Here is a 14,359-nt window from a genome sequence, read left to right as displayed (position 1 = left end):
TGCTACTACCCTGCCTTTTATAAGATGAGAGGCTATAAACACCAGTATATTAAAAATGTATCCACCAAAGTAAAATTAGTGCTCAGCAGACGCTTATTTTTCTAGAATTTTATTTCTCAGATGGATTGGTATAATTTTTAGTGGTATGTATTGCCAGCCTATAATAAATATGTAAGCCCATCAAAACCTGATAGAAAACTCCATCAGATAATACACTGGGAACTGGGGATTAATTCTATACTAGCCCCGGGGGATGCACCTCGTGACCTAATAGAATGTTTCCAATTCTAATTTATCTGGTTCTGTGAAATCAATTTTTCTATAAACTATAACCAGTACATGAGTGTTTTGCAAAAACTAATCATATTGGCATAATAAGCATGTCAAGTTACAGTGAAATGGACATTCTGTTGTTCTTTTATTGAAACTAATGGGCTAGCATTAGAAGGAATAACATACTGGAAATGATAACAGTTTATGGCTTTGATTTTTTTGCTTTTTAAATTTGATGGTATAGCATATTGGCTCTCAATCTCCTTTTATGAGTATTTGAGTTTGACCCTGTTAAAAATGACAAAGAAATTGCTACGAAAAAGCATTTTCTCACTATCTTACCTTCAGCAGTGCAGTCGAGAAATAGCCATGCTATGGCATCTTCATCTGCGAGGTTCATATGTCAGCAGCTGCTGCTGGGAAGGTTCAGTGAGGGAGAAGAGTTACAAGGATAAGTCTCCTGCTTTGTAATGTTGACAAATTAGCCGATCTCAGCTCTTCATCTCAAAAATACTTCTACCCAAGGAGAATCAGATGAAATTGAAGTTGGTCATGCCAACCCAGGATGACCTTGAATGAAATAGATCTCTCTGTTTACCAGGCATAGAGATTACAGTGGACTCATCAATCAGGAGGCCACCAGTGTCATAGATTTACCTTACTCATTTGAACTTCCCAGGCATTGGAAGCTAAATCCTGATTCTTAATTATGATTGTTGTTGTTATTTAATGGGATTCGGAAGCCTCGCCCAAAACGGATGGGCTTTCACATTTGATACTTTCACAATTGTGGCTGATGAATAATTTGGGGATTATATATTTAATGTGTGACTCCCCCATGAGCCTATAGGTTCTATGAAGGTAGAACTACATTTGGCCTTTCTCACCATACAGCTCCAGTTGCTAGCCAGGTGCTCAGTAAGCAGAGAGTCCAGTTTGTTCAATAAAAGTTTTCACATGTTGTCCTGACATAAAATATTATAACACATGTTGTCCTGACATTAAAATATACGGTCACATTAAAATATCATATGTTGTCCTGACATTAAAATATACAGTCACTCTCTCAGTAAGTATGTGTTAGATGGATGAATGGATGAGCCAACACTTGGCCATGCTTGGAAATGACACTGGGCTTGGATCAAAAGAAACTGGATTGAGTCGTAGCTCTGCCCCGTATCAGTTATATGACTTGAACAAGTGACTTAAGCTCTTTTCTTCACAGTGAAATAGTTAAAAGAGAATACGATGTCTATCACATTGTAACTTCTCAATAAATATTGATTTTCTTCTTTAATTAAGGCAGCACTATCCAATACAGGAATATTTCATTGTATTGCACTTCCCTTTATTGCATATTGCAGATATTGCTTTTTTTTTTAACAAATTGTATGTTTATGGCAACGCTGCGTCAAGCATCTTTCAAGCATTTTTCCAGCAACGAGTACTCTCCTTGTGTCTCTGTGTCACATTTTAGTAATTCTCATAATATTTCAAACTTTTTCATTATTATTAAATTGGTTATAATGATCTGTGATCAGTCTTTGATGTTACTATTATAATTATATTGGGGTGCCATGAAACATGCTCATGTAAGATGGCAAAAATTCATAAATGTGTGTGCTCTGACTGCTCCAACTATTTCCCATCTCATTCCCTTGCCTCAGGCCTCTCTATTCCCTGAGACACAACAATGTTGAAATTAGGTCAATTAATAACTCTACAAAAGCCTCTAAGTGCTCAAGTGAAAAGAACAGTTGCATGTCTCTCACCTGAAATCAAAATCTAGAAATGATTAAGCTTAGGAAGGAAGACATATTGAAAGCTGAGACAGGCCAAAAGCTAGGCCTTTTGTGCCAAAAAGTTAGCCAAGTTGTGAATGCAAAGGAAATTAAAAGTGCTACTCCAGTGTATACATGAATGATAAGAAGGTGAAACAGCCTCATTGCCAATATGGAGAAAGTTTCAGTGGTCTGGATAGAAGATCAAATCTTACAACATTCTTTTGAGCCAGAGCCTAATCCAGATCAAGGCCCTAACTCTCTTTAACTCTATGAAGGCTGAGAGAGGTTAGGAAGCTGCAGAAGAAAAGTGGGAAGCTAGCAGAGGTTGGTTCATGAGGTTTAAGAAAAGAAACCATCTCTATAACATAAAAGTGCAAGGTGAAACAGCAAGTGCTGACATACAAGCTGCAGCAAGTTATCCAGAAGATCTAGGTAAGATAATTGATGAAGGTGGCTACACTAAATAATAGATCTTCAATGTAGAGGAAGTAGCCTTTTATTGCAAGAAGATGTCATCTAGGACTTTCCTAGCCAGAAAGGAGAAATCAGTGCCTGGTTTCAAAGCTTCAAAGGACAGGCTGACTCTCTTGTTAAGGGCTAATGCAGCTGGAGACTTAAAGTAGAACAGTGCTCATTTACTATTCTGAAAGTCCTAGGGCCCTTAAGAATTATGCTAAATCTACTCTGTCTGTGTTCTCTCAAAAGAACAACACAAGAGCACATCTGTTTACACCAAGATTTATTGAATATTTTAAGCCCACTGTTGAGATCTACTGCTCAGAAAAAAATATATCTTTCAAAATACTACTGCTCATTGACAATGTTACTGATCAACCAAGAGCTCTGATCAGGAAAAAATATATCTTTCAAAATATTACTGCTCAGAAAAATATTACTGCTCAGAAAAAAATATACCTTTCAAAATATTACTGCTCATTGACAATGTTACTGATCAACCAAGAGCTCAGCAGAGGTCTAAGGGACTCCATAGGTTTTAGAAGCCCCTTGTTTGGAAATTACAGAAACGGCAAGTTATATAGAACTTTCAGTAACTGTTCTGGGATCTTCAGCCTCTAGGATTAATGAGTATATTTCAGTTCCTTTTGTGAATCATGTATTCTGGGGCTGACCAGCATGCATTATTTTAGTAAGTTATCACCATTTGGATGATTGTTAACTTCTTTAGAACCCGGAACAGTTATCTAAATAGCACACATCTGATATGAAATGACTTTGCCTTTTCGCCCATGAGAGACAGACCCCTGGAGAACCTTCACCTTGTCAGAAGAACCATAATTTTCAACACCACTTGGCTACATTAAAAATTGTGAAGCCACCAAATGCTTTTTTACTTATGACATAAGTAACTCATAGTTGCTTGGACTTTTTCCTAGTTTTGGTGAACAATATTTTAAGCAATTTTGGTCAACCTTTTTAAATTTTGGATTTACATTTAAATTTGGGGGAGATAAATATGTTTTGTTCAATTAAGATTACAGACTCTTGCATTAGTCTTTGAGCAATGGATAATTGTTCCCTTAAGGTGGGAGAAAAATGGCATGGTACATTTTCACTGGAGTCCAGAAAAAATTAAGAGGAATAATTATTTTTGACACTTTACCTGGAAAGGGGTCATCATTTAAAAACTCAGATGACTTTTCTCCATATCTACCTACCATTTAAACTTGTAGTCATGAATCATTCACTCAAACCACAGTAGGAAACTGCATTGTGAGCTGATTTCTAAAGCATTTTGTATACATAGCAATATCAGAGCTCATGATCACTACAGGAATCACATGCATACTGGTTACCAAATACTCAGTATTGGACATTTCAAAAAACTGAAAGGAGACCAAATCTGTATTTTTAATTTGTTTGAATCAGTAGTAAAACTAAGTTTCTCTAAAGATAAAGCAAGTTCTTTTTTCACTACAATATGTGTGAAAGGACCAATAATACCTAATTGGGCAGGCTGGCAGACTGCTGTTCAAAGACAGATGAATTACAGCAGCTATCATTTTGTCCCTTTTAGGTTACCTTACGAGTTTTCTTCTTTACGGATGCCCAGAACGGGCCTTTCAGAATGTGCCTAGATGAGAAATTCATTTCTAGTCATTATCACCACAGCTTTAGCTAGGAAACCAGCTCTGTTCCAAATCAGGACGAAGTAAAAGCATAGGTTTTCTATAGGCAAATGCAATTTTTGACTGGCTGTCCTCAGAAGCCATTGTCCCTGGTTGCCGGGTCTTTGCTGATGGAAAGCCAAGCCAGGCCACATTATTAGGTAGCTCAGTAGCAGTTAATTATTAACTCCAGTGGAGAGTGGTTCATGAGATTACTGTATATGCTGTTACAACATGATTAACTCTCTGCTCATCAATTCAATTTTTTTCGGAAGTGTTGCTGCAAATAGGCATAAATTTCCTGGGCACAGCATTCAGTTCCACCTTATTATGCAGCACGGCTTCAAAGATATGAGGTTCCATGTCTAATCTTAATTTAATTTTAGAAGTTAGCTCTCTGGCTTGCTACAAGCTGCATTCCATTTCTGATGTTATCCACAATTCTGAGACCGACTAGAAATACCTGTGTGGATTGTGGTAGAAAAGGATAACCCTGGATCTGGAATAAAAGTGTAGCCTCAGAAATTTCCTGGCATTGGATCACAAGGTCAGGAAATCGAGACCATCCTGGCTAACACGGTGAAACCCCATCTGTACTAAAAAATACAAAAAATTAGCCAGGCGTAGCGGCGGGCTCCTGTAGTCCCAGCTACTTGGGAGGCTGAGGCAGGAGAATGGCGTGAACCCAAGAGGCGGAGCTTGCAGTGAGCCGAGATCGCACCACTGCACTCCAGCCTGGGCAACAGAGCGAGACTCCGTCTCAGAAAAAAAAAAAAAATCCTGGCATTGTTGAGTCTGTGCTGCAACAAAGGCAGCTGGATTCCACAGGACAGTTTACATGTGGGTATCAGCATTTGTACATCCTCAGAATCTCCTATGAAGAGCATCACGCCAATTGCTAACATCTCGCAATTCCCAGAACCAAGCCACTGGCCTTTCAGGAGAGAACTCTGTATTCAGAGAAGTCCCTCTCTATTAGAGGAAATAAATAAGTTGATGCCTTTTTAATCTGAGCAGATGCATAGAATTTCCTATGGGGGATTCTCACAAGGATGTTTGTACTTGAATGTTTTTCTGCAAGAGAGAAGGAAGAGCCTGGTGTCCTCCTGGATCAAAAGTAGGGGCTTTTCATTAATTCGTGATGAACAGCTATGTATCAAATCTATATCCACTTAAAGAGGTGGAAATTACTCTCTTGGTTTATTGGACCAGACGAGGACTGTGGGTCTCATTGGTTCTTAACAGAGCCTCAACAAAGCCATAATTACAGAAATTCTTCCAGGACCATGGACATTATTTAGGCTTTCTATTACCTAGAATCCACACCAGGAAAATTATGTGCAAACGCAAATCAGACATTTTCCTGGGGTTTATTTGTCGAGTGTTGCTTGGAAAGAATTCCCACAGCATAAAAATTATGCTTGGAGAAAAGAATGGAAGAATCAAAGTGAACCATGCTGCTTTCTGCAGGAACAAAGCAATATAAGAAATAAAGCCTGCGAAGAAGTATTTTCCTCCCCACTGCTACTCTCTTATCAAGGCATCTTCTTTCCATTTGTTGACCAGCCTCAATGTCCAACGGCTTCTTGGACCAATACTGCCATGCTTTCTGCCTCTACAGAATTTGAAAATATGCTGAAGCTAACAAACAAGGAGTCTTTATATAAGTACAAAAAGTCTTTATATAGGTACATATTTGTGAGCGTGTGCGTGAATGTGTGCACACATACACATGTGGGAGCGATGAAGGTTACCTCATGTAACCCTGTTAAGTGAAAATAACATTAAGCACCTCAAATTCAAGCTGCTAATTTGTTCCTCCATCATTTGGGGAAAACTTTGCAAAATTATCCAATTGCTCATCTGGGAAAAGAAACATTCAAAAAGAGGCAAGAAAAGGATTTAAAAGAATAAAGGAGAACTTACTCTACTCAAATTTAAAACTTATTATAAAGGTGCAATAAATCAAACAGTGTGATGGCAGCACTAGGCTATACCAATGGAGCATAATGAAAGCATACACCAAAAAATTACATATAGTTTCTGCCTTGAGAGAGAGAGAGCACTCATATGTATGTGTGTGTGTGTCATAGTTTATGATAATGTTGGAATTGTGTGATAGAGTAGAAAGAGTATGAACTTCAGAATCAGATAAATTCAAACCTGGATTTGAATTCCAGTCCATGCACTCTTGAGCAAGTTAATACTCTTACTGAATATTAATTACCTAAAATGGAATGGGGATGGTGATATGTATCTTTAAGGTGTGACGATTTGAGAATCAAATGATATCCTACATGTATTAGTCAAGGTTTTTAGTTACAAGTGGCAGAGACATAATCTGGCTAATCTGGGCAGATGAGGAATTTATTCAGGGCTCTTGTGTTGCTTACAAAATTTCTGAGAAGGGCAGAGAAACAGTCTTGGGAAAAGGGAAGAACAAGGAAGGCTAGACAGCAGCCAGGACCACAGGAATTCATGCCCCCAAAGAGCATGTGAGGACTGCTAGCCCTACCACTGAATCCTGGGTGTCACTGCTGGCATGGCCACATATGCTCCAAGACAGCAGTTGTTGCTGGATCACTCATCAGAATGGCATTGGCTTGGTCCACCCTCTTTGAATCAATAGATCCAGTTGTAAATTCCAGAGAGGGTCTGTTGATTGGTTGCTCCTAACCTAAGTTCAGAGGAGTCTAGGAAAATAAGTTCTTGGCATTTTCAAGTTTTATAGTGAAGGCAAGCTCTCCTTCCCTAGCAAGATTCATAAGGTAGACAATTTATCAAATGCAGGAAGGAATTTCAGATTTTGCATCACCTAGAAAAGGCACAAATCCATTACAAAACATATCAAAGCACCTGATACATAACAGATATTCAGGAAATGGTGACAATTGATATTTTCACAAATCAGTGGGGGAAAGGAACAATTCATTATTCAACAAATGGTGCTGGGACCATTTGTTATTTGGAACAAAAAAAATCTAAAATTCACCAAAATAAACTCCAATTGGTTCGAAGATTAAAAAGAGATTTTTTAATCAAAGATTTAAATCTGTAAAAAATAATTTGACCCACTGTGCCCATCAATTCAGCCTCCAGATCCACCTGGAAAGGATGTTAATTTAAGCTCAGTGGGTTTTCTAATGGTGTCTCTTCCAGTTCTGGCAACACAGGAGAGTCCTACAGCCCATCACTTAGAACAGATTCACATGCCCCACTCTTAATTTTGCATCTGACCTCCAGTTGAAACACTTCTCTTTTATTTACTGAAAATAAAATGTTAAAACAGTTTCTCACATGCTTAATTTCTACAAGTCTTTCTTTGGGTCATTCAACCAGCGTTGTGGATAATGTTACCAAGAGTGCTTGGTGGCTTGGATTCTATGTCTCCACTAAACTATAGGTTTCAAAGACAAGGGGCTTGTTTTACGTATCTTTTTTTTTTCTATTATGCCTGGTACAATGCTTTCAACATAGGAGGTGCTCAATCCATGATTAAGGAAGAAAACGGAATTGCTGGTTAGCTGTTTCAAAATGTCTGGTAATGGTTTCAGCTTTGAGCACTAACTCAGATAAAGCACTAACGTCTCTTATCCTCAATTTCCTTTTCTTTAGAACAAGAACGCTTACATTACCCTTACTCCCCCAAAACTTCACATAACAAATATTGATCATTTTGGGCTTGATGAAACAATTCATAGGTGACAGCTCTTAAGATCATAGATGGACAGCTTTCCAGAAGGTATACTACTCTTTCTCTTCTCTTATCTATAATCTTTACTGTTCTCAGTTTCCATCTGCCACTCTTATGTCCAGTTCTGAAAAGCTAGTCAAGGATGAGTGAGGCTGGCCAAAAATTTTTCTTTTCTAGCTATGTTTCTTGGCGGTTACATTTTTCCTCTTAATTTATTGCTTTTCACTATTGTTAGAATAGATATGTGATCTGAAACATCAATTTCCTCATGACTTAGGTGCATCTTGCTTTCTTTTTTGCCATCTAAAAGATCTTAATATTATTTATTTAAAGTTGAGAGAGCACTTTGTGTCTCTTGGATGCAAATAACTGTGAGTGTGTATATTATTATTGTCTCTATTGCCCAAAAGGAAAAACTTCATTTCTTATAGATACAGTATTTTTATTTTTAAATGTTTAGAGAGAAAAAAAACATTAGCCATGATATATCCCTAAATAACACATGAGTAAGGGTTCACTGTGTCTGAAAAATTCTACTCAGCTCCAGATTTGAGAAAAGACCATTTGTCTGGCCTCTCTGATTCATCCCTGAGAATGAAAAGGACCAAAAGTCAGTTCCCTTTGGTACAAACTCTCTTTCATATTTTATTTTCTAATGCACAGCTAATTTCTAAATTAAGACCATGCTTACAAGAAAGGTTAGGAAGTTATCCACTTCAATCCATTAGTAAGTCTGTTTTTGATTGAACTTTTAAATAACTTTTGATAATTAGTACATCTTGTCTTTTGGATTTCAAATAAGATAAAATAATCAGTTTTCTTTTTTATTTAAAATTATGCCAGATTTAGCCCAGTCAAAAGATTCCAGAATTTCTCCCAGCAAGACAAACACTTTGGAGAATTTTCTAATTCCCCACATGCGTGCTGTCCATATACTCCCATTACCAAACTTTAAGTGATCAAAGTGTTGAACTATATCTGTGATTAGGTCAGCGGTCAGCAAACTTTTCCTCTAATAAAGCAGAGGGTAAATATTTCCAGCTTTGCAGCCATTTGGTCTCTGTCCCAACACCTCAACTCTGCCATAATCATGCAAAAGCAGCCATTGATAATACATAAGTGATCGAGTGTGGCTGTGTTCCAATAAAACTTTATTTATAAACACTGAAATTTGAATTTCATATAATTTTTACATGACATGGTATACTATTCTTCTTTTGCCTTTTAAGGTATAAATGCCATAGTTCGTGGGTCATATAAAAATAGGCAGTGGGCCAGATTTAGCTGGGGTGACAGTTTGCTGACCCCTGCTTTAGGTGAACTGGGGATGGGCTTCTTGAAAAGTTTTCACTAAATAGCATATAACATTTATTTCAGAAAAACTTATTTGTGCTTTTTCTCTGCTCTCACACCACAAAAACCAATCAACACAGAAGACTTCTGTGACCAAATGTGTGGGTTTTTTTCCCCACCACCAAGCAGTGGCCACCAGCTGGGTGTCCTCCAAGTCAACTCTGACACTACCTGGAGATAGCTTCAGATTCCACAAATTGAAGGTTCAGTCACTAAAACTGGCCCCCACCTTTCAGACACCAGTCGAACTTCTGACCCACTGGCTTCAACTTGGGGCTCCCATGACCCCTTCTTAGATTAATTTGTTGGAGGGGCTCACAGAACTCAGGGAAACACATTTACCAATATACTATAAAGGATATTACAAAGGATACAGATGAAGAGGTGCACAGGACAGGCATGAGGGAAGTGGGTGGAGCTTCCATGCCCTCCCTGTGAGCACCACCCTCCAGGAACCTCAATGTGTTTGGCTATCCAGAAGCTCTCCAAACCCAGTCCTCGTGGATTTTTATGGAAGCTTCATGATATCAGCATTCCTTCCCCAGGGTATGGGGCTGGACCCTCTCTAGAATGAGGGGCTTATAACTGGCAATCATAAAGGCAGGGAAGATTAGAGTCCTGCCTTGGGGAAAGTGAAAGGAGAGCAGGAGAAGTTCAGATAGATTCTGTCTTCTGAGGCTTAACACACCCATCATTATAACAAAAGCCTGTAACAGGGTTTATGGGAGTTATGAGCCAGAAACCATGGACAAAAACAGATAGATAGATAGATAGATAGATAGATAGATAGATAGATAGATAGAAGATATATATGTAATATATAATACATGTAATAACACCACAATATTGAATTCCAAACTTTACCATATCTTCCATAATTAAAGCCCAAATTTCTTCCATTTATGCTGTGTACTCATTAAAAAGAAAGATGTGGCTGGGTATGTACTGACATTGAATGTTCCCAAGTTACATGTGTGCAGTAGACCTTTGTTTGTGTTTATAAAGGAAAACTTTATATACATATATGCCTCTATATCAGAAATGTATAACAGTGGTTGCATCCAAAGGGTCAATTAGAGGACAAGAGTGGGCAGGTGACTTACTTTTCACCATACACTATTTTGTACCTTTAGACTACTGCAACACTTAAATGAAGCTATTTTTTATATAACATATTCATTTTTTAATGTTTAAATGCTGAAAGAAATGACTAGAGAGGTCCTGAAATCAGTGCTTAATATTCTCCAAATTAAAAGAATTGCCAATTCTAAGCATATTTTATCAGATGACCTCTAGCTGATGAAAGGAGCTTGAACCAACAGCAGAATAAAAACCTGGACTAAAAAGGTAAGCATCTTCATAAGTACAGGGGTATATGGACAAGAAACCACTTTAAATGCAGAGGAAATTTTGACCTTTTTACAACTTTTGCCTTAAATTTTTAAAATCGCCTCACAACCTAAAGATTTTTCAAAAGGGAAAATAAACAGGTGAACACACAAAAGCAGGCCCAGCGACACTTCCTAAATTTTGTCATTAATTAGTGTTTCTATACACGAGAACCACCAGATCAGCAGAGCATAGCATTACCTGCATGCACTTAGAATTGGGGTCATCCTAAACATCTGTGGGCCCCAGCAAGGGTGCAAACAGAGGCCTCAGCCTATGGCTCACACACTTCTCTTCCTACCCCCACTCCCTGCAGCACCAGGAGAGCTGGCATGCCTGCATGTGGACATCGCAGCCTGAGTGTTTGTCAGGCCTCTGAGCCCAAGCTAAGCCATCATATCCCCTGTGACCTGCACGTACACATCCAGATGGCTGGTTCCTGCCTTAAATGATGACATTCCACCACAGAAGAAGTGAAAATGGCCTGTTCCTGCCTTAACTGATGACATTGTCTTGTGAAATTCCTTCTCCTGGCTCATCCTGGCTCAAAAGCTCCCCCATTGAGTACCTTGTGACCCCCCACTCCTGCCTGCCAGAGAACAACCCCCCTTTTTCCTTTACCTACCCAAATCCTATAAAACGGCCCCACCCTTATCTCCCTTTGCTGACTCTCTTTTCGAACTCAGCCCACCTGCACCCAGGTGAAATAAACAGCTTTATTGCTCACACAAAGCCTGTTTGGTGGTCTCTTCACACAGACACGAATGAAATTGGGTGCCGTGACTTGGATCGCGGGACCTCCCTTGGGAGATCAATCCCCTGTCCTCCTGTTCTTTGCTCCATGAGAAAGATCCACCTACGACCTCAGGTCCTCAGACCGACTAGCCCAAGAAACATCTCACCAATTTCAAATCTGGTAAGCGGCCTCTTTTTACCCTCTTCTCCAACCTCCCTCATTATCCCTCAACCTCTTTCTCCTTTCAATCTTGGTGCCACACTTCAATCTCTCCCTTCTTTTAATTTCAATTCCTTTCATTTTCTGGTAGAGACAAAGGAGACACGTTTTATCCGTGGACCCAAAACTCCAGTGCCGGTCACAGACTGGGAAGGCAGCCTTCCCTTGGTGTTTAATCATTGCAGGTACGCCTCTCTGATTATTCACCCACGTTTCAGAGGTGTGAGACCACGCAGGGATGCCTGCCTTGGTCCTTCACCCTTAGTGGCAAGTCCTGCTTTTCTGGGGGAGGGACAAGGACCCCAACCCCTTCTCTCTGTGTCTCTACCCCTTCTTCGCCTTTCTGGGGGGCAAGAAACCCCCAACCCCTTCTCCTTCACCCTTAGCGGCAAGTCCCGCTTTTCTAGGGGAGGGGCAAGTACCCCAACCTCATATCTCTGCACCCCGATCCCTTATTTCCATGCCCCAACCTCATATCTCTGCACGTCGACCCCTTCTCTGCTTTTCTGGAGGGCAAGAACCCCCTACCCCTTCTCCATGTCTCTACTCTTTTCTTTGGGCTTGCCTCCTTCACTCTGGGCAAGATTCCACCTTCCATTCCTCCTTCTTCTCCCTTAGCCTGTGTTCTTAAGAACTTAAAACCTCTTCAACTCTCACCTGACCTAAAATCTAAGTGTCTTATTTTCTTCTGCAATGCCACTTGACCCCAATACAAACTCGACAGTAGTTCCAAATAGCCAGAAAACGGCACTTTCAGTTTTTCCATCCTGCAAGATCTAAATAATTCTTGTCGTAAACTGGGCAAGTGGTCTGAGGTGCCTGATGTCCAGGCATTCTTTTATACATCGGTCCCTCTCTAGTCTCTGTTCCCAGTGCAACTCATCCCAAATCTTCCTTCTTTCCCTCCCACCTGTCCCCTCAGTCCCAACCCCAAGCGTCACTGAGTCTTTCTAATCTTCCTTTTCTACAGACCTATCTGACCTCTCCCCTCCTCACCAGGCCGAGTTAGCTCCTAATTCTTCCTCAGCCTCTGCTCCCACACCCTATAATCATTTTATCACCTCCCCTCCTCACACCTGGTCTGGCTTACAGCTTCCTTCCATGACTAGCCCTCCCCCACCTGCCCAGCAATTTACTCTTAAAAAGGTGGCTGGAGCTAAAGACATAGTCAAGGTTAATGCTCCTTTTTCTTTATCCCAAATCAGATAGCATTTAGGCTCTTTTTCATCAAATATAAAAATCCAGCCCAGTTCATGACTTGTTTGGCAGCAACCCTGAGACACTTTACAGCCCTAGACCCTAAAAGGTCAAAAGGCCGTCTTATTCTCAAAATATATTTTATTACCCAATCTGCTCCTGACATTAAATAAAACTCCAAAAATTAAATTCTGGCCCTCAAACCCCACAACAGGATTTAATTAACCTTGCCTTCAAGGTGTACAATAATAGAAAAAAGTTGCAATGCCTTGCCTCCACAGTGAGACAAACCCCAGCCACATCTCCAGCACGCAAGAACTTCCAAACGCTGAACCGCAGTGGCCAGGCGTTCCTCCAGAACCTCCTCCCCCAGGAGCTTGCTACAAGTGCCAGAAATCTGACCACCAGGCCAAGGAATGCCCACAGCCCAGGATTCCTCCTAAGCCGTGTCCCAACTGTGCGGGACCCCACTGGAAATCAGACTGTTCAACTCACCTGGCAGCCACTCCCAGAGCCCCTGGAACTCTGGCCCAAGGCTCTCTGACTGACTCCTTCTCAGCTTAGTGGCTGAAGACTGATGCTGCCCGATCACCTCGGAAGCCCTCTAGACCATCACGGACACCAAGCTTCACATAACTCTCACAGTGGAAGGTAAGTCCGTCCCCTTCTTAATCAATACGGAGGCTACCCAGTCCACATTACCTTCTTTTCAAGGGCCTGTTTCCCTTGCCTCCATAACTGTTGTGGGTATTGACAGCCAGGCTTCTAAACCTCTTAAAACTCCCCAACTCTGGTGCCAACTTAGACAACACTCTTTTAAGCACTCCTTTTAGTTATCCCCACCTGCCCAGTTCCCTTGTTAGGCCGAGACACTTTAACTAAATTATCTGCTTCACTGACTATTCCTGGATTACAGCTACATCTCATTGCTGCCCTTCTTCCCAATCCAAAGCCTCCTTTGCATCCTCCTCTTGTATTCCCCCACTTTAACCCACAAGTATAAGATACCTCTACTCCCTTCTTGGTGACCGATCATGCACCCCTTACCATCTCATTAAAACCTAATCACCCTTACCCCGCTCAACGCCAATATCCCATCCCACAGCACGCTTTAAAAGGATTAGAGCCTGTTATCACTCGCCTGCTACAGCATGGGCTTCTAAAACCTATAAACTCTCCTTACAATTCCCCCATTTTACCTGTCCAAAAACCTGACAAGTCTTACAGATTAGTTCAGGATCTGCACCTTATCAACCAAATTGTTTTGCCTATCCCCCCTGTTGTGCCAAAACCGTACACTCCTTTGTCCTCAATACCTTCCTCCACAACTCACTATTCCATTCTTGATCTTAAAGATGCTTTTTTCACTATTCCCCTGCACTCCTCGTCCCAGCCTCTCTTTGCTTTCACCTGGACTGACCCTGACACCCATCAGTCCCAGCAGCTTACCTTGGCTGTGCTGCCGCAAGGTTTCAGGGACAGTCCTCATTACTTCAGCCAAGCTCTTTCTCATGATTTACTTTCTTTCCACCCCTCTGCTTCTCACCTTATTCAATATATTGATGACCTTCTTCTTTGTAGCCCCTCC

The 14,359-nt window shown here is 40.6% G+C and overlaps 2 long non-coding RNA genes across 6 annotated transcripts in view; both read right to left on the bottom strand.

Annotated features, from left to right (window-relative positions):
- Positions 1-14,359, bottom strand: part of LOC127898557 (uncharacterized) — a 140,693-nt gene that overhangs the window by 110,834 nt on the left and 15,500 nt on the right. The window lies entirely within an intron of this gene.
- LOC105377488 (uncharacterized) overlaps positions 1-14,359 on the bottom strand; it is a 33,739-nt gene that overhangs the window by 3,880 nt on the left and 15,500 nt on the right. For 3 of the 5 annotated variants that reach the window (NR_183034.1, NR_183038.1, NR_183036.1), the window contains exon 3: positions 616-689. This is a non-coding gene — a long non-coding RNA (uncharacterized LOC105377488). The remainder of the gene's footprint in view (positions 1-615; positions 690-14,359) is intronic. The other 2 variants (NR_183037.1, NR_183035.1) reach the window with 1 other exon arrangement.

Source organism: Homo sapiens, chromosome 4, assembly GCF_000001405.40.
Source record: "Homo sapiens chromosome 4, GRCh38.p14 Primary Assembly".
NCBI lineage: Eukaryota > Metazoa > Chordata > Mammalia > Primates > Hominidae > Homo > Homo sapiens.
Note: the sequence above shows the minus strand (reverse complement) of the source record. Positions and strands in the feature narration are given on the sequence as shown.